Source organism: Homo sapiens, chromosome 4 (assembly GCF_000001405.40).
Source record: "Homo sapiens chromosome 4, GRCh38.p14 Primary Assembly".
Classification (NCBI taxonomy): domain Eukaryota; kingdom Metazoa; phylum Chordata; class Mammalia; order Primates; family Hominidae; genus Homo; species Homo sapiens.
This window is the reverse complement of record NC_000004.12, coordinates 103,122,791-103,144,072: the sequence shown is the minus strand read 5'-3', so window position 1 is coordinate 103,144,072 and position 21,282 is coordinate 103,122,791. Positions and strand designations below refer to the sequence as shown.

At 35.1% G+C, this 21,282-nt stretch overlaps 1 protein-coding gene across 17 annotated transcripts in view; it reads left to right on the top strand.

Moving 5' to 3' along the window:
• The window catches only part of CENPE (centromere protein E), a 92,533-nt gene that overhangs the window by 54,271 nt on the left and 16,980 nt on the right, over positions 1–21,282 (top strand). For 5 of the 17 annotated variants that reach the window (XM_047449534.1, XM_011531544.3, XM_011531546.4 and 2 more), the window contains 10 exons: positions 667–825; positions 2,165–2,323; positions 2,969–3,259; positions 3,659–3,817; positions 3,994–4,284; positions 5,624–5,722; positions 7,714–7,932; positions 10,181–10,378; positions 11,177–11,380; positions 20,984–21,202. In XM_047449534.1, the coding sequence (XP_047305490.1) occupies positions 667–825; positions 2,165–2,323; positions 2,969–3,259; positions 3,659–3,817; positions 3,994–4,284; positions 5,624–5,722; positions 7,714–7,932; positions 10,181–10,378; positions 11,177–11,380; positions 20,984–21,202 (1,998 nt within the window). Of the gene's footprint in view, positions 1–666; positions 826–2,164; positions 2,324–2,968; positions 3,260–3,658; positions 3,818–3,993; positions 4,285–5,620; positions 5,723–7,713; positions 7,933–10,180; positions 10,379–11,176; positions 11,381–20,983; positions 21,203–21,282 lie in introns of all 17 variants that reach the window. The other 12 variants (XM_047449533.1, XM_047449535.1, XM_011531545.3 and 9 more) reach the window with 5 other exon arrangements.

Here is a 21,282-nt window from a genome sequence, read left to right as displayed (position 1 = left end):
CCCAGCTACTTGGGAGGCTGAGACAGGAGAATGGCGTGAACCCAGGAGGCGGAGGTTGCAGTGAGCCAAGATCGCACCACTGCACTCCAGCCTGGGCGACAGAGCAAGACTCCATCTCAAAAAGTAAAATAAAATAAAAAATAATAAAATAAGATAAAATTGGTCCAATATTGAGGAAAGTTGGTGAGGGTATATTTGGAAATACCTTCCAAATTTTTCCAAAGGTTTATTCGTTGATCCACAAGTCCAGTTGTAACTATCCTCCACACATTTGCACAACTGTATAAAGATATTTGTAGGATATTCTTTGCAACAAGTTGCAATAATGAAATAACACAAACAAAAACAGGGAAAATTCTAACCATCCATTGGTAAGGGACTGGTTAAATAAGTGCAGCACATTCACGTCATGGAATTCTATGCCACAAATAAAAAATGTGGTAGAGCTATAGTGCTGATTTGAAGGGTGAAGTGTCCTGTTAGGGAACAGGGTAAGTTCAGGAATAGTGTATCTAGAATGTATTGACATCTAAAAGTAGCTTAGAGGGTGAGAACTAGGAGGCCTCAGAAGAGGGTGGAAGATTTTTACCTCCTGCCCTATACCTTTCTATAGCATGTGGATGGTACTACTCTCAATGTATTATTTTTATTTTTCTATTGATAAAGGACCTAGAAAAACAAGAGGAGCTAAAAATTGTTCACATGCATCTGAAGGAGCACCAAGAAACTATTGATAAACTAAGAGGGATTGTTTCAGAGAAAACAAATGAAATATCAAATATGCAAAAGGACTTAGAACACTCAAATGATGCCTTAAAAGCACAGGTATTTTATTTTTAAGTTATCTCAGTTACTGAGAGTTTGAATCAAACTTTTTGTGTAATGAAACAAGATATGAATTACCCTAAAATTGAAGGCAAGTGAAGACTTACTTGCCTACTCAATTTAGAAACTATCATTGATCTTTTTATATCTACTGATAATCCTAACTTATTGTATGATTATCTCAAGATCCAAGAACTTCAGGAGAAAGAACATCAACTTCTTTTTTTTTTTTTTTTTTTTTTTTGAGACAGAGTCTCGCTCTGTCGCCTGGAGTGCAACGGCATGATCTCGGCTCACTGCAATGTCTGCCTCCCGGGTTCAAGCGATTCTCCTGCCTCAAGTCTCCCAAGTAACTAGGATTACAGATGCATGTCATCACACCCAGCTAATTTTTGTATTTTTAGTAGAGAGGAGGTTTCACCGTGTTGACCAGGGTGGTCTCGATCTCCTGACCTCATGATCCACCCGCCTCGGCCTCCCAAAGTGCTGGGATTACAGGCATGAGCCGCCAGGCCCAGCCTCAACTTCTTAAAGTAAAAAATGATCTTAGGGAAACTATGTATCAAACAGGTCAGTTAAAGAAGCAGTTAGAGGCCTGGAATGTAACTCTGGAAAGTGTAGAAACGCAGAAATTAAGATTGACTCAGAAGCTTCATGAAAACCTTCAGGATGTAAGATTTGTTACTAAGGAAAATGATGGCCTAAGAGGAGTAGAGGAAATCTTTAAAATGGAGCAAGACCAACTTAGGGAAGGCCTTAGAGAAATAGAAGCTAAAGTAAGCTCATTCCTCTCCCTGGCAATTCAATGTATTGTGTTCTTACAGCAATGAACCCTTCTTTGAACCAAGTACTACTGTTGGCAAGAATGAAATGATACAGCCTTTTAAGCAGATAATTTGGTACTGTTCTTGAAAAGTTCAAGTCTGCAATTATCATTTTCCTTACGGACTTTAGCCTACATATATACTGTTAAAGGAGTGTGTGTGTATATACAAACACAACGTATACATATGCCACAGGTTATTTATTGTAGTGATTTTAATTAAAAATCTGAAACAATCTAAATGTTCCTCAGAAGGAAACAGTAAATATGAACAATATATCGAAATACTATGCAACACTTAAAAAAAGTAATATATGTGTAATGTGTTTGCCTCTGGAAAGCAGAAGTAGAGTGTGAAGAGAGGAGGACAGGGAAGAGAAAGCCTGTACCTTAAAAACAACAGCAAAGATATAGAGTAACAGTGTTATTATTTTTACTAAGAAAATATATCACTTTATTTTTTAAAAACTAATATTAAGATATGTCACTGTTTTTAAAATTTCTCTAATGGTAAAGGATCTGAAAATACAAGAGGAACTAAGAATTGCTCACATGCATCTGAAAGAGCAGCAGGAAACTATTGACAAACTCAGAGGAATTGTTTCTGAGAAGACAGATAAACTATCAAATATGCAAAAAGATTTAGAAAATTCAAATGCTAAATTACAAGAAAAGGTATTTTTATGGGGGGATTGTTTGATTGGATATCTAATTTGTTTGTGCCTAAAATTGTTGGGGATATAAAATGGTTCAACCACACTGGAAAACACCTTGGCAGTATTTACTAATGCTGGATGTAGCCTGCCTGAGGCCCAACATTTCCACTTCTTGGGTATGTACATAAGAGAAAAGAGTACGTACATACTTCTATAAAAAGACACAAGAATGTTTATAGCAGCCTTATTCAAAATAACAAAAAACTGAAAACTCAAATGTCTATCAGCAGGAAAATGGATACATACATTGTGATATATAGGTTCAAAAGCAGGCAAAACTGAACCAGGATGATAAAGGTCAGAATAGTGGCTGTCTCTAGGAAGGAGCACACAGAAACTTTATGAAGTGCTAGAAATATTCTCTGTTTTAATCTGGGTTGTAGTTTCATAGATTTACACCTGTGTCAAGAATAATTAAGTTATACATTGAAGATGAGCATGCTTTATATATATTATACCTCAAAAGAAAGTAAAATTCTGTGTGGAATTGTGCAGGATATCAGTGAGAGTAACATGGGTAGACAGTTGTCTTAATCAATTTAGAAACTATTATTTATCTGTCCCTAAAAAGCCACCTAACATATTATTTTATGATTATCTTAAGATTCAAGAACTTAAGGCAAATGAACATCAACTTATTACGTTAAAAAAAGATGTCAATGAGACACAGAAAAAAGTGTCTGAAATGGAGCAACTAAAGAAACAAATAAAAGACCAAAGCTTAACTCTGAGTAAATTAGAAATAGAGAATTTAAATTTGGCTCAGAAACTTCATGAAAACCTTGAAGAAATGAAATCTGTAATGAAAGAAAGAGATAATCTAAGAAGAGTAGAGGAGACACTCAAACTGGAGAGAGACCAACTCAAGGAAAGCCTGCAAGAAACCAAAGCTAGAGTGAGTTGTGTTCTCTCTTTACCCTACCATTATATTCACATATTTGGGCAAAAATACAGTGTTCACTGCAGCGTTGTGTCTGGTGACTAAAACCTAGAAATAATCTAAGTGTCCACCAATAATAAGGCACTATCTGTATAATGGAAAACTAAGCATAAGAATGGGGTATTCTTTTTGTGATATTGATTTAGAAAGATGTCCAAGTGGTATGAAAGGAGAAGGCTATGGGTGAGGCTACCAGCAGAAAATTTTACTTTACTCTTCTAATTTAGGAGGTTGTATAATGGTTGTTTTTAACTGTGAGTGTATAATTTTTAAGATTTTGTTTAAACTCAATCATTAAGTAAAGGTAACGTGCCTTTATATCATTACATTTCTTGATTTCTTCTAACCATAAAGGATCTGGAAATACAACAGGAACTAAAAACTGCTCGTATGCTATCAAAAGAACACAAAGAAACTGTTGATAAACTTAGAGAAAAAATTTCAGAAAAGACAATTCAAATTTCAGACATTCAAAAGGATTTAGATAAATCAAAAGATGAATTACAGAAAAAGGTATGTGTTGTTTTGTTCTTCTTTTGGAAGTAACTGTGCCCAAAATTATTTGTGGAATTAAAAAGATATAGATACAGATATGTAGATAGATATGTGCATATAGAACACAAGTAGACACTATTTGCCTTCCTTGAAGAAACTGCTTACATTCTAACTTGTTTTACAATTATCTCAAGATCCAAGAACTTCAGAAAAAAGAACTTCAACTGCTTAGAGTGAAAGAAGATGTCAATATGAGTCATAAAAAAATTAATGAAATGGAACAGTTGAAGAAGCAATTTGAGGCCCAAAACTTATCTATGCAAAGTGTGAGAATGGATAACTTCCAGTTGACTAAGAAACTTCATGAAAGCCTTGAAGAAATAAGAATTGTAGCTAAAGAAAGAGATGAGCTAAGGAGGATAAAAGAATCTCTCAAAATGGAAAGGGACCAATTCATAGCAACCTTAAGGGAAATGATAGCTAGAGTGAGTTCAGAGTCTTCCTTTGTGTAGTAACTATTAATAAGAATTAAGCTTTTTTGAAAAGAATTACAATGTTTTTATTTCTTTCTCTGGAAATTCCTATGAACAGTAAAGGACAGTGGGAAATGGTTACTCTAATTTTTACACAATAGAAAACAGTTTTAAAAGAAGCAAAAATATTTTCAGAAAATAACATTTAATTCTTTATTTTTATAAACTGTGTTAAAGCAGTCTATTTCCCTTAATATAACATTTTAAAGTTTTTTTTAATCAAGAGATAGCATTATTCTAAATGGAGAAATATTTGAAGGATTAGATTTGTAAGAGAGCAAATATTCCCATTTCTCTACCTATACATGCTGGAGTTCTAGAGTTGGGCTCTTATTGGTGAAGTTAAAAGGAAAAAAGGGAAGATAAATATAAAAATTAAGTTCCTCTGGTATGACTATTTATAGATATTCAGAATCATATATCTTAAAATATCTAATTAAATCCTCTTTTTGAAAGTAACAGAGTTCAGACAAGTTTATTAAAATCTGTAAAAATCTTTTTTATTCTCATATTTCTTTATGTGGGCCTGAACTAAATTTATAGAGAGATTTAATTCATTCATCAAATATTCTTCTAGGTACTGTAGTGAACAAGATAAGTGGGAGAAAATGTTTTTGTTTCACTTTATACTTTTTAATCAGAAATGCAAAATGTACACAGGATATGAACTTTTCCAAGGTGCTGGGAAGAATATATGACTAGGGTTTGAAACACCATAGACAGTACAGGTGGTTTTGCCAGTATATTTGGTTGGCGCCAATAAAGTGCATTAGGATAAAAGCAAGTGCCACTGTTAAAACTACAAGTGAATAATGCAGAGATTTGGAAGAGTAGGAATCAGAAATTAAAATCTAATTTATTTGTTTTCCTGGTTGTTTATTTATTTATTTATTTATTTTTATAGAGACAGGGTCTCACTATGTTGCTGAGGCTGGTTTTGAGCTCCTGAGCTCAAGTGATCCTCCTGCCTCGATCTCCTAAAGTGCTAGGATTACAGGCGTGAGCTACCATGCCTGGCCCTAAAACCTAATTTGTAGCTATGAAAAACAAATCCTGTCTCCAAAAATTAGATGATTTTTCTACTTTTTTACCAATGAGTTAAGGTCACTCCCTATAAAACTTACTGATACTATTATTCATTTTCTGATCATTTTAACATTGCTTTTGAGTGACAAGTATAATATTTAATTCCATTATTGAAATGTCATGTAATTTAGAAGTGTGCGATTAGACATTATATGTGAATATAGTCATGACAAAAGCCCTGTTTATTTTCTTTTTACCAAAGCAGGACCGACAGAACCACCAAGTAAAACCTGAAAAAAGGTTACTAAGTGATGGACAACAGCACCTTACGGAAAGCCTGAGAGAAAAGTGCTCTAGAATAAAAGTAAGTACCCCCTGTTAAAACTACAAATGATTATTGGTTGTCTTCCAAAGGCTTACCGAAACCTGAAGTGGGATTGAAGGAACCTCTGGAATAAATAGATAGTGCTCAGTATTTTTCTAAACATTGTAATCTAGTACAGGTGTGTGGGTATAATGCATATATACACACATACACAAACAACAATGGGAGCTTGTGAATTTAAGTCCTCACCAGAAAAGTGATACTTGAGCAAATACCTGAACGAGGTAAAGGGTCAGGCCATACAGATGTCTGAAAAGACCATTATAGGCAAAGGGAACAGCGAGTACAAAGTTCCTGAGGCAGAAGACTCTGTGGTGGTTCAAGGAATATCGAAAAGAGGGCAAGCTGCTAATGAATGAGATCAGAGAGTTAGCAGGGAAGAGGCAAGCTGTGGGACATGAAAAAAGACTGAGTTTTATTAAGTGAGGTGGAGATCCATTGGGGAATTTTTACCGCAAGAGAAACATAATCTGACTTAACATTTTAAAGGGATGACTCTTAATTGTTATATTGAAAATAGAGTGGAAGCAGGAAGACCATTATAAAGACTGATTTCAATCACCCAGGCAGAGATCATCCTGGCCTGGCCCAGAGAGGGAGCAATAGAGGTAGTGAGAAGTGTTGAGATTCTGAATATACATTGAAGGGAAAGCCAACAGGATTTACAGTCACACCTGTTGGAATGCAAGATCTCTAAGGACATTTTTGTTTTGTTTATGACTACATCATTTAGCACATTCCTGACATAAGTCAGTGTTCAATATGCTGCTGTATACCGTAGTTGATTCATCCTAAAACCAAAAACAGGAATCCCCTCTCCAACATTCCAGATTGATTAACATCTAGCTTTTCTTAAATTATTAAAAATAAAGGGCTCATTCTTGTGAGAACGCCCTTGTTTTATTGTTTAGCAGCCTGAACTAAACATGTTACCTACTACATGATTACAGTAACTTGAATTTTACATGTTTCTCTACCTGTGCTCTGACCAGTGTGTCACCTGCATAGCCTCAAGTCACTTGAGTCTATGGGTCCAGATTTATTGCATGTCTACTGTATGCCAGGTACCATACTGGGTGCTTTACCTCATGATATAGGCTTTATTGCTCCATTCATAAACAAGGAAACTGCCTTCCTCAGAAAGGAAGTTTAGCAGTTGCCCAAGGTTACACAGCTAGTAAATTGTTAGAATCAGAATTTTAAACTAAGTCAGACTTGTATCTGACTTAGTTCAAAACTTGGGTATAGAAACATGTTTATAAACATAATTTTGTCTCCTTCAAGTTAAATGACTGTGTCTGTTTTATAGATTACATAGGTATATAGGTATAGATCATATATTTTACTTGACCCCAGAAAACTTTGTGGTAATTATTGTAGTCTTCCTGTTGTTGTGAAAATGGCTCAGTGACTTCCCCAGTCAAGAAGTGGCAGAGCTGGAACCTGAACTCTACCTCTGATAAAGGGTTAGAAAACAGATTGTAGGCAGATAGTAGGATTGTGTGAAGTATCTGTACCAAGCTGACAAATAGGTGGTTTGATTCTTAATCACTTGTTTTATCTGCTAACTCAGACTGCCTACTATAAACATAAACCAGCACTCAACCATGAACTACAATACATACTTAATTGAATTTACTCAAATTTCTCATCAGACTTTGTCAATGTTGATTCATATCATGGATATTCAAAAAACTAAAAGAAAATGCATCAAAATGTTAAGAATGGTTGGTCCTGGCTTTCTTTGTTATATTTGCTTAAATTTTTTAAATTGCCATAATAATTATCTATTATTTCTGTTATCCAAAATGACAACAAGAGTTTCCTTTTGTTTTTAGACACAAAGGTCTTTATTTCTCTCCTACAGAAAATGTTAAAGCATAAGTTTTGTTACAATTCTAGAGTTGTAACTACTTATTGTGATATTAGAATGAATTGTTATAAATTGAGTGAATTCTCATTTCCTTTAGGAGCTTTTGAAGAGATACTCAGAGATGGATGATCATTATGAGTGCTTGAATAGATTGTCTCTTGACTTGGAGAAGGAAATTGAATTCCAAAAAGAGCTTTCAATGAGAGTTAAAGCAAACCTCTCACTTCCCTATTTACAAACCAAACACATTGAAAAACTTTTTACTGCAAACCAGAGATGCTCCATGGAATTCCACAGAATCATGAAGAAACTGAAGGTACCATCTTTTTTAGTAATATCCTTTTAAATATTTCAGTTATAAACATCAATGTATTTAAGTCCTGCTTCAGGTGCCGGCATATTTGCTATTTAGTATTCTTACTACCAAATTAAAGATTATGTGGGTCTGAGCATAGTAATATGTAGGATATCAGCAACACCTGAACTCTGCCTGTGGGCCTAGACATTATGTCAGGATGTTCAGGAGGCAGATGTGAGTTAACATCTCAAAGATCTCATAGTCTGGGGTGAGACAGACATATAAACAAGTATTAAGTGCAATGATAGAAGTGTATGCAAGTTATATGACGTACTAAATAAAATTACAGAAGATGAAACTGTAGTAGAAGCCAGACTCAATAACAAAGCTTGGAGTTCTTTTTGTAGATGGGGAATCATTAGACTATTGTTTTAAGTGGTGGTGGTAACAGGATCTGATTACCACTTAGGTACTAAACTAAAGAATACAGAAGAAATGAGTTTGAGGGAGATAAGCCTAGTAGCAGAAAGCAATAAGAGGCAGTTACAGTGGTCCAGATGAGATATTATATGTGACTGTACTACTAGGGAGGGTTTCACAGGGCTGGAGAGGACAAACGAGATTAAAGAAATATTTAGCAGCTTAAAATAGTAGGTCGAAATAATTGATAGTGGACATAAGGGAGAGAAGTTTAGATGGAGTTCTTGGATTTGGGCTTAGTCAGGTTTGTCGATAGTGGTACCATTAACTGAGATTCAAAAATAAAAAAGAAAGAGAAACAAGGTAGATGAGGCAGGAGATTGTTTAATTTGAGATGTTTGGGGGCTGAAATACCTATGATGGAACATCCAAGAAGAGAAACCAAGTAGACATTTAGATTTGAGTTTGAGGTTTGGCAGGAGAAAAATAAGAACTAACATTTGAGACTGATCAGCATATAGGTGATAGATAATACATTTGTAAGATCATCCAGAAAGCATAATGAAGACTAAGAGCCTTGGGATAAAAACAGAACTCTGGAAAAGATAAATGTCTAAGAGGCAGTAGCAGAAAAGGGAGCAACACATGGGTTCAAGGTTGGAAAAGTCAAAGATACAGGAGAGAAACTAGCAAAAGTACTGCTACCCAAATCAGTGGAGAAGAGTATGTCAAAGATGAAGTTATGAGTGGCAAATACTTCAGAGAGTCAGAATATGGACTGAAGATATTCTCTCAATGTGGTGATAATAGAACTCATTAGTGATCATTGTCAGAGAACAGTTTCAACTGGGTAGTTAAGGAAGAGACCAGATTATAAGAGGTTAAGGAATGGTGGAAGTTGAGGAATAAGTAAGCTGGTATCTGCCCTACCTGGGTAGATTGCCCTTCGGGCCCTGGTAATTCTTCCACAAATCCTGGTAATCAGACATCTAGAATTATTCATGAAGTCCATGAGACATTTGGCATTGAAATTATTGTCTCTTGAAGCCAAATATCTAAATATGCTTGACAAGGAAGTCTTTTTTTTTTTTTTTTTTTTTTTTGAGACGGAGTCTTGCTCTGTTGCCCAGGCTGGAGTGCAGTGGTGTGATGATCTCGGCTCACTGCAAGCTCCGCCTCCCGGGTTCACGCCATTCTCCTGCCACAGCCTCCAAGTAGCTGGGACTACAGGCGCCTGCCACCACGCCCAGCTAATTTTTTGTATTTTTAGTAGAGACAGGGTTTCACTGTGTTAGCCAGGATGGTCTCGAACTCCTGACCTTGTGATCTGCCCACGTCAGCCTCCCAAAGTGCTGGGATTACAGGCATGAGCCACCATGTCCGGCCGACAAGGAAGTCTTGAGGCATGTAACTTCATCTTTTTGGTTACCCAATCAGCGTTGGCAGGAGAGGATGTTGAAAATGAGTCTCATGAGTTTAACTGGGAAACCTGGGTGATTGGTAATGTAATTAGCCAAAAACTGGGCAATAGAAAAAGGAGGACTTGTAGAGAAAGGGATCATGTTACGTTTTAAACATGTTGAATTTGAAGTACTTGTAAGACATCCAAGAAGTATATCTGGTAAGAAGTCAGAAATAAGGAATTATAGGTCTGGGAGTTAGTTATTCTCCTAAGATACTAAGAGGAAAAACTGGGGATAGAGAGAAGCTCTTTCCCTTTTCCTCACTTGTGAGAGGATATAGGTAAATAAGAGATGTCATCCTACCTCATAGTCTCAAGGATGAAAACTTTCTCTACATGTGACAAAATTTTCATTTACCAATTTGTTTAATTTTTTTCTGCAAGTATGTGTTAAGCTATGTTACAAAAATAAAAGAAGAACAACATGAATCCATCAATAAATTTGAAATGGATTTTATTGATGAAGTGGAAAAGCAAAAGGAATTGCTAATTAAAATACAGCACCTTCAACAAGATTGTGATGTACCATCCAGAGAATTAAGGGATCTCAAATTGAACCAGAATATGGATCTACATATTGAGGTATAATTTATTTTAAATGGATTTAGTTAGATTTTAAGCCTTTTTATCAAGTAGAAAGGTACTTTTTCATGTGCTTAGAGCTATTTTCATTTACCAGAAATTAAAAATACGTTGCAGAGTGATACCTGGCCAGACATAAAGACTGGCAAATAATGGACTAGCCTCTCTTCAGACCTCAATAGATACAGGAAAACTTATGTCTATGCTGGGAGTCAGAAACCGCTTTATTACAACAACTCCACATGGAATGTGTTACTTGCATTCATCTATGTGAGGCTGGCATCCAATTCCCAACATGTATGTAAGGTCTGCTATATGTACTGAAAAGCTACATTTAGAAGCACTTCATGAAGCCAGCCCCAGTGGCATGCCTGTAATTCCAGCTACTTAAGAGGCTCAGGCAGGAGGATCACTTGACTCCAGGGGTTCAAGATCAGCCTGGGCAACATAGTGAGACCATCTCAAAAAATAAAAATTAAGATGCACTTCAGGTATTGTAGCAATTAGTCACAAATTTGTCATTTTGACAAGCTTTAATTCTAATAGGTACAATCTGTTACATCATGTATACTGCCAAAATTATATTATGCAAATAACTAGAATAAAGTTTTAACTTACAATTATATTTCTTAGTTTACTTTAAAATATTAAGAAATGATATTAAAAGGAAGAAAAGCAAGAGTCCACTAGGTATTGCCCTCTTTTTATTTTATATATATATATATATATATATAAATAAAATATTTGGATCAAAACTTTCCTAATGTTTAAACAATTTGACGCTTATTTTTCACACAGGAAATTCTCAAAGATTTCTCAGAAAGTGAGTTCCCTAGCATAAAGACTGAATTTCAACAAGTACTAAGTAATAGGAAAGAAATGACACAGTTTTTGGAAGAGTGGTTAAATACTCGTTTTGATATAGAAAAGCTTAAAAATGGCATCCAGAAAGAAAATGATAGGATTTGTCAAGTGAATAACTTCTTTAATAACAGAATAATTGTAAGTATTACTTTTTGCTGTACTACTTTTTTGTTGCTGTTTGCTTTAATTGTCCTACCTCATTCTTAAAAGGGCAACTTATGTATATTTTCTTTATTTGTATATGCTTTAAAAAAATTGATTTGATAAAACGTGTTCTTCCTCTAATGTATTATTCTTCCTTATCAATTCATACTGATCAAGGTAACGAAATCTTGTTGTATAATATTTAGTTTCCACTTGTGAAATCTTGAATCCTCTTACTATTGTCCTCTTTTTCTTCTCCTTCTCACTGCTTCTGTAAGAACTGAGCCTTTTCCACGAGTAGCCTTAGAGATCGTAAGACATGAGTCTGTTTCAAGCTATGGGCAGCAACTGTGGTAAAGTCATAGACAAGCCTGGCCAGCTACTTTAGATGGGCCTCATGTGCTTTAATAAACTTTTTTTTTTAAGAGCAGTTTTAGGTTCACAGCAAAATTGAGCAGAAAGTACAGAGAGTTCTCTTATACCCCATCTCCACAAACACAATCTCCCCTATCAACAGCCCACATCAGGGTGGCACATTTGGCACAATCGATGAACCTACATTGATACATCATTATCACCCAAGAGAGTCCGTAGCTTACATTAGGGTTCACACTTGGCATAGTACATTCTATGAGTTACAATTGTAAAATGACATGTATCCATCATTACAGTATCATACAGAGTAATTTTACTATCCTGCCATAAAAATTCCCTGGGTTCCACCTGTATTCATCACTTCACCTTCCTAAACCCTGGCAACTGTTAATCTTTTTACTGTCTCCATAGTAGCCCCTTTTCCAGAATGTCATATGTTGGAATCATACAGTATATAGCCTTTTCAGGTTGACAACTTTCACTTAGTAATATTTATTTACGTTTTGTCCATGTCTTTTCATGGTTTCATAGCTTATTTCTTTTTAATGCTGAATAATATTCCATTGTGTGTATGTACCTGTTTATCTACTTACCTACCAAAGGATATTTTGGTGGCTTGTATGTTTTGGCAATTATGAATTCAGCTGCTATAAACATACATATGTATCTTTTTGTGTGGACATACATTTTCAACTCTCTTGAGTAAATATCAAGGAATGCAATTTCTGGATCATACAGTAAAAGTTTGTTTAGTTTTGTAATAAACTGCCAGACAGTCTTCCAAAGGGGCGGTACCATTTTGCACTCCCACCAGCAATGAATAAAATTCCTGTTGCTCCACATTCTCATCAGCATTTGGTGTTGTCAGTTTGGGATTTTGACCATTCTAGTAAGTGTAGTAAGTGTAGTATTTGACCATTCTAGTGGTATCTCATTCAGTTTGCAATTCTCTAATAACATATGATGTTGAACATTTTTTATAGTTATTTGTCATCTGTGTATCTTTTCTGGTGAAGTGTCTGTTCAGGTCTGTTGCCCTTATTTTAGTCAGGTTATTTGTTTTCTCATTGTTAAGGTTTAAGAATTGTTTGTATACTTTGAATATTGGTCTTTTATCAGATGTGTCTTGGAAATATATTCTACCAATCTGTGGCTTGTCTTCTCACTCCCTTGGCATTGTGTTTCAGAGTGCAGATTTTTAATGTTAAAAAAAAGTCTAGCTTATCAATTATTTCTTTCATAGATTATGCCTTTGAGTTTGTATCTAAAATATCACCAAACCCAAGATCATCTAGATTTTCTCCTATGCTGTCTTCCATAGTTTTTGTTTTACATTTAAACCAATGATCCATCTTGAGTTAATTTTTCTGAAGTTCTTAAGGTCTTTTTTTTTTTTTTTTCGCTTGTAGAAGTCCAGATTCAGCACAATTATATTGTCTTTGCTCCTTTGTCAATGATCATTTGACTATGTGGGATCTATTTCTGAGCTCTCTATTCTATTCCATTGATCTATTTGTTCTTTCATTTATAGCAAATCTGGAAACTGCTGATTTTTATAGTAAATCTGGAAGTCAAGTAACATCAGTTCTCTGACGTCGTTCTTCAGCATTGTGTTGGTTATTCTGGGTCCTTTGCCTCTCCATATAAACTTTGGAATTAGTTTGTCCCTATTCACAGAATAACTTCCTATGGTTTTGTTGGGATTGCTTCTAATTTATAGATGGAAAGAACTGACATCTTGACAATATCGTGTCTTTTTATCCATGAATATGGAATATTTCTCCATTTATTTGATTCTTTTATTTTTTTATAAGAGTTTGGTAGTTTTTCTCATATAGATCTTGTACATATTTGTTAGATTTGCCTATGTATTTTATTTTGGGGGGTGCTAGTATAAATGGTAATGTATTTTTAATTTCAAATTACACTTGTAAATTGCTGGTATACAGGAAAGCTATTAACTTTCGTATATTGACTTTTTATCCTGCAACTTTGCGATAGTTGCTTATTTAGTTCCAGGAGTATTTTTGTTGATGCCTTCAGATTTTCTATGTAGATGATCATGTCATGTGTAAACAAAGAGAGTTTTGTTTTATTTCTTCTTTACAAATTTGTGTACCTTGTATTTTCTTTACTTGTCTTATGGCGTTAATTTGGACTTCCAGTACAGTGTTGAAAACTAGAGGTGAGAGGGGACATCCTTGCCTTGTTTCTGATCACAGCAGGAAGACTTCTAGTTCCTCATGATTAACTATGATGTTAGCTGTAGTTTTTTGTAGACATTCTTTATCAAGTTGTAGAGGTTCATCTCTATTGCTGAGAGTTTTAAATTATGAATGGGTATTGGATTTTGACAAATTTTTTCTGCATCCATTGATATGATCATGTGATTTTTCTTCTTTAGCCTATGTGATGGAACATTAATTGATTTTTGAATGTTAAACCAGCCTTGCATACCTGGGATAAATCCCATTTGGTCATGTATAATCATTTTTACACGTGATTGGATTTGACTTCCTAATATTTTGTTGAGATTTTCACATCTTTTTTTACATCTTTGTTTTTTATTTTATTTTATTTTATTTTTTGAGATGGAGTCTCACTCTGTCTCCCAGGCTGGAGTGTAATGGCACAATCTCGGCACACGGCAACCTCTGCCTCCCAGGTTCAAGCACTTCTCCTGCCTCAGCTGGGATTACACACACGCACCACCACGCCTGGCTAATTTTTGTATTTTTAGTAGAGACGGGTTTCACCATGTTGGTCAGGCTGGTCTCGAACTCCTGACCTCGTGATCCACCCACCTCGGCCTCCCAAAGTACTGGGATTACAGGCGTGAACCACCGCACCCAGCTTTTACATCTCTTTTTATGGGAGATACTGGTCTGTAGTTTTCTTGTATAATGTCATCATCTGGTTTTAGTATTAGAATAATGCTGACATCATAGAATGAGTTTCCGTTTCTATCTTCTAGAAGAGATTGTAGGTTGTAGAGAATGGGTATAGTTTTTTCCTTAAATTTCTTAAATATTTGGTAGAGTTCACCATTGAACTCATCTGGACCTGGTGCTTTCTGTTTTGGAAAGTTTTTAATTACTGACTCCATTTCTTTGATAGATATAGGCCTAATCGAACTGCCTTTCTTGTGTATTGGTAGATTGTGTCTTTCAAAGAATTGGTCCATTTCATTTAAATTATCAAATTTGTGGGTTGTTCATAATTGTGGGTTGTAATAATTGAGTTGTTCCTAATATTTTTTAATGTCCATGGGCTCTATAGTGATGTCCTGTCATCCATTTCTGATATTAGTAATTTGTATTCTTTTTCTTTTTCTTAGTTTGCCTAGCTAGAGGTTTATTAACTTTATTGATCTTTTCAAAGAACCAGTTTTTAGGATATTTATTTTCTCTATTGATTTTGTTTCAATTTCATTGATTTCTACTTTTATTATTTCTTCTGCTTACTTTGGATTTAATTTGCTCTTCACTTTTAGTTTCCTAAGGTTAAAGCCTCATTTATTGGTTTTTAGGTCTTTCCTCTTTTCTAATACTGGTATTCAATGCTATAAATTTTCCTCTAAACACTGCTTTTACTGCATCCCACAGATACTGATAAGTCATATTTTCATTTTCATTGAGTTCAAAATACATTTTAATTTCTCTTTATTTCTCCTGTGACCCGTATGTTATTTAGAAATGTATTTTTTAAATCTCTAATTATCCAGGGATTTTTCAGCTGTTTTTGATTTCTAGTTTAATTCCATTGTGGTCTGAGAGCAGAATGGTATGATTGGTCCAGAATGTGGTCTGTCTTCACAAATATTCAATGTGAGTTTGAGAAGAATATATAATATGCTGTTGTTGGATGAAGTAGTCAATAGATGTCAATTGCATCCAGTTGATAGATGGTACTGTTAAATTCAACCATGTCCTTCCTGATTTTTCTGCCTGGTGGATCTGTTCACTTCTGATAGAGAGGCGTTGAAGTCTCCAACTATAATAAATTGATCTATTTCTCCTTGTAGTTTTATCAGTTTTTGCCTCAAGTATTTTAATGCGTTTTTGTTAGGTGCATGCAAAATAAAAATTGTTATGTCTTCTTGGGGTATTGATGTCTTTATCACTACGTAATGTCCCTTTATCCCTGATAGTTTTCCTTGCTCTGAACTCTGCTATGTGTGAAATTAATATCACTACTTCATCTCTTTTGACTAGTTTTAACATGGTGTATCTTTCTCCATCCCTTTACTTTCTAATCTATGTGTCCTTATATTGAAGATGGGTTTCTTGTAGACAACATACAGTCAGCTCTTATTTTTTGATCTGCTTTGACAGTCGGTCTTTTAATTGGTGTATTTAGACCATTGACGTTTAAGGTGATTATTGATATAATTGGATTAATATCTACCATATTGTTTCTGTTTTCTATTTTTTGCCCTTATTCTTTGTACCTATTTTTGTCTTCCACATTTTTTCTGCCTTTTATGATTTAAATTATTTTATGATTCCATTTTCTCTGCTTAGCATACAACTACACTTCTATCTTGTTTTAGTGGTTGCTCTAGAGTTTGCAATATATCCATTTACAACTAATCTGAGCCCAATTTCAAATAACACTTTCCACTTCACAGATAATATAAGTACCTTATAATAACAAAATATTTATAATTTCTCCCTCCCATCCATTGTATCATTGCCGTTATTCATTTCACTTATTCATAAGCATACATAAGTTAGCTCAGTTAAGAATAAGAAAATAAGTTTTTGTTTTACCTTCACTTATTCCTTCTCTTGTGCTCTTCCTTTCTTTATGTAGATCTGAGTTTCTGGCTATATCATTTTCCTTTCCTCTGAAGAACTTCTTTTTAATATTTCTTGCAAGACCAGTCTACTGACAGCAAATTCCCTCCATTTTTGTTTGTCTCAGAAAGTCTTTATTTCTACTTTACTTTTGAAGAATAATTTTACATGGAATAGAATTATAGGTTAGTATGTTTTTTCACTCCACTGTCTTCTAGCTTGAATAGCTTCAGAGAAGTCAGATGTAATTCTTATCTTCACTCCCCTATAGGTATGGTGTTTTTTCCCTTCTAGCTTCTTCAAAGATTTTTTTTTACCTTTGATTTTTCTGAAGTTTGAATATGATATGCTTAGATGTTGTTTTTTGTTTTTGGGGGTTTTTTTTCGGGGGTTTTTTTGGTTTTTTTTTTTTTTTATATTTGTCCCGTTTAGCATTATGAGTTTTCTGGATTCCTGGTTTGGTGTACGTTGTTAATCTGTGGAAATTCTTAGTCGTTATTACTTCAAATATTCCTGCTCTTTCTTTTTCTGTTCACCTTCTGGTATTCCCATTATGTATACATTACACCTTTTATAATTACTGCACACTTCTAGGATGTTGTTTAGGGATTTTTTCAGTCTTTTTACTCTTTGCTTTTCAGTTTTGGAAGTTTCCATTGTCATATTTCCAAGTTGAGTTTCTTTCTTCAGCCAGTCTGCTAATGAACTCTTCAAGGGCATTCTTCGTTTCTCTTAAGAGCATTTTTGATCTCTAGCATTTCTTTATTTTTTTGCTCAAAATTTCTATGTTTCTTCTTACATTGTTTATTTGTTCTTGCAAGTCGTCTGCTTTTTCCACTAAGGCCCCTAGCATATTAATCCATTTTTTTTAAATTTCTGGTCTGATAACTCTCATGTTCCTGGCATTTCTGCCTGTGGTTCTGATGCTTATTCAGTCTCTTCAAACTGTGTTTTTTGCCCTCTAGTATGTCTTGTAATTTTTTTTGCTGAAAAGCAGGCATGATTTACTGGGTAAAAGTAACTGTAGCAAATAGGCCTTTAGTAATGTAGTGGCAAGGTGTGTGTGGTGGGTGGCAGGCGGAGTATATTTCCCTGCCTTCACATGGAAGGCAAGAGCCAGCTGAAACTTAGTATTTCCCCCTCCTCCAGATATATTAGGCCCTGACAAAACCCCAGCATGTTAGGCTCTGGTGAAATAGTTTCTGCTGAGGTCAGGCCTTAAGAAAAAAAAAATGCTGTGTTTTGTTTTAAAATGGTTCCTTTTCTCCTCTCCTGCCAGACTCACAAAGGGATTTCTCCAATATTAACTGTGATGACTTGGTAGAGCTCCTGAAGGTAAAATACAAAAGTGTGGCGGCCACTGTATGACTAGGTCTCCGAAGTTTTTAACTCTCAGAGTTGCCACACTGAGCTCCAATAATTCATCATTGCAGTTCAGGTTTTCCTACCCCATAACTGGTTCCTGCAAAGGGTTTCTGCTCTAAGTTGTAATTCTCTGTATCTGCCTCTCTGCCTCTCCAGTTTGGGGAGCATCCCTTTGCCCTGCGACCTCACTTCTCTGATGGATCTAAGCAGAGTTGTGGATTTTTTTCATTTGTTTTGCTTTTTCCTTGTTAGGTAACTCCTTTTTTTTTTTTTTTTTTTTTGAGATGGAGTCTCACTCTGTCACCCAGGCTGGAGTGTGCAGTGGCTCAATCTCGGCTCACTGCAACCTCCGCCTCCTGGGTTCAAGCGATTCTCTTGCCTCAGCCTCCCGAGTAACTGGGACTACAGGCACGTGCCACCACTCCCAGCTAATTTTTGTATTTTTTTTAGTAGAGACGGGGTTTCACCTGTTGGCCAGGATGATCTCAATCTCTTGACCTCATGATCTGCCCGCCTCGGACTGCCAGAGTGCTGGGATTACAGGTGTGAGCCACTGCACCCGTCCTGGACTGGCAACTTCTAAACACCTAAAATGCTAAACTAGAAATTCCAAAATTTTGATTTTTTTTTTAATCATTGTTCCCAAGGTGATCAGCCCAAATGTACTGAGTCATAAGGACCAACATTGCTTAAGACCAGTTTGTTAACTTGTTTTACATTTCAGTGATTGGTATTTGGTGGGTACAAAAGTAATTGCAGTATTCATTCTGCTTTCAGAAGTAATCCCTTCTCTGTTTCATTGGTAAAACATGTAATATTCAAAAGATTGCTTATTTATATTAAATTGGAGCAATGGTAGCTAGATTAATATTATAGTTTCCAAAATACATTTTATAGTTCATATGTTTGGATAGTTCTTTTCTGACAATTTAATTTCATCTGCAAATCATATTGGAATCTTGTTGAAATAAGGAACAATGCCTTTTTTAAAAAGTTTTCGCTTGGAAAGTTCATCCTGTTTATTGATTAGTCAGAGCTAGCCAAATAGCAGTTGGCTATTTCAAGAAAAAACAAAGAAGTCCACAATCAGTAGAGAAAGGCACAAAACCAATGTTTGGATAAGGTCATGTCTATTTGTAATTTGTTGTTTTTCTTGTAATACTGGAGACCCAGTTGTGATTAGAAAGCAGGGATTTCTACTATGTGGATCAGCATGTATATGTGGCTTCTTCCAGCACATAAGAGTAGGCATTAATAACTTGGTATGGTGTGAGGTGCATAGTCCAGAGCCAAGGAGTGTCCAGGGTGTCAGGAACACGACGAATTTAAGATCTGGTAGAATGACCACAAAGCCTGGTAGAATGACCACAAAGCCACAAAGAAGTTAGGGATGAGACTAATGGGGCATTCATGATGAGAGCAGAAAGTACAATCTGCAGGAATTAGGAAGTAAAAAAGATATCAATAATTTCAGAGTTAGTTAGCCTTCAATATAAAAGAGTATTGTTATTCCCTGTACAGAAATACAAGATATTCAGATTAATTACCAACAATCAGTGAGTTATTTTCCCTATTAACATTGAGGTTTGTAATGAAGCAGGACAATAGATAATTGTTAAGTTTCTAGCTGTGCTCTGCTATTAGATATCAGTTAATGTTTCATTATCAGCCATAGCATATATAATGATTTTAACCTGGATAATTCTTCAGGTTCTCTTCATATGTTAGTACAAATCTAATAAAGTGAGATTATCATCTTGCAGATCAATATGAATCCTCTCTAGTCATTATTCATTTTATTGTCATCATCCACATCCAACATCTGAAATTTCAGAAACTGATGCAAACTACAAAGAATGTTCACATTCTTTTAAAGTACTGTTTTAGAATGTTCTAAATAATGAACTTCAGCATATACACTGTCCTAGAATTCTAGGGTTTTTTGAAGTTTTTTTAAAATATGTATATCAAGACCCCCCACCCCCGAGGGGATGCCATGGATGGTACCAAACCCTATGTATTCTGTTTTTTCTATACATCCATACCTATGATAAAGTTTAATTTATAAATTAGACACAGTAAGAGATTAGTAACAACAGCTAATAAAATAGAACAATTTTAACAATATACTATAGTAAAAGTTATATGAATGTGGACTCTCTCAAAATATCTTATTTTACTGCACTCTCCTTTCTTATGATGTGAGATGATACAGTGCCTACCTGATAAGATGAAGGAATATGAATGACCTAGACATTTTGATATAGTCTTAGACTACTATTGACCTTCTGTATTCCTGAATCCATGAATAAATCTTACTTGCAGTAAAGGGCTTGGTGTCACTTTTTTCAGGGGATCCCTTGCTGAAGTCTTCCTAGATGCTCAATGCTTGCTGGTACAACACATTGTCATCAACTGGAACACATTTCTGTTCTTGTCTTCTACCACAAATTTAATGCCTTTTCTAGCTTAACTAAGCACTTATCACACACTATTGTAGGCTGAAGTGCTACAGCAAAAACAGCACAAATTTCTCTTCCCTTCTTCACAATTCCACGGATAAAAGATTCATTCTAACCATAGATCTTAGCAACCTCAATATATGATTTTTTTTCTTATTAAGTTGAGAACTTTTACCTTCTCACTTACAAGAAGCACTTGACAGCTTCACGGTGGCATATCTAAATTGCCAGCATTACTACTCTTGTGCTTTGGGGCCATTATTAATTAAAATAAGGGTTACTTGGACACAAGTACTGCAATACAGCAGCAATCGGATAATCAGGGTGGCTATCAAGTGAACAAGTAGTGTATGCTGGACAAGAGGATGATTTACATCCCAGGCAGGACTGAGCAGGATGACTCAAAATTTCACTGTGCTACTCAGAATGATGTGCAATTCAAAACCTGTGAATTGTTTATTTCTGGAATTTCCCATTTAATATTTTCAGACCACTTTTGACTGAGGGTAACTGAAACCATGGAAAATAAAATTGCAGGTAAGTGGGGACTACTATAAATCGTTTTAGAGCTATAATGGTATTTTACTGTTCAATAGGCCATAATGAATGAATCAACAGAGTTTGAGGAAAGAAGTGCTACCATATCCAAAGAGTGGGAACAGGACCTGAAATCACTGAAAGAGAAAAATGAAAAACTATTTAAAAACTACCAAACATTGAAGACTTCCTTGGCATCTGGTGCCCAGGTTAATCCTACCACACAAGACAATAAGAATCCTCATGTTACATCAAGAGCTACACAGTTAACCACAGAGGTATATAATTTCTTATAAAATGTTCTTCAGTTTGCAGCTTCATCACAGAGTTTAGAGCAAAATTATAGTATTTACTTATT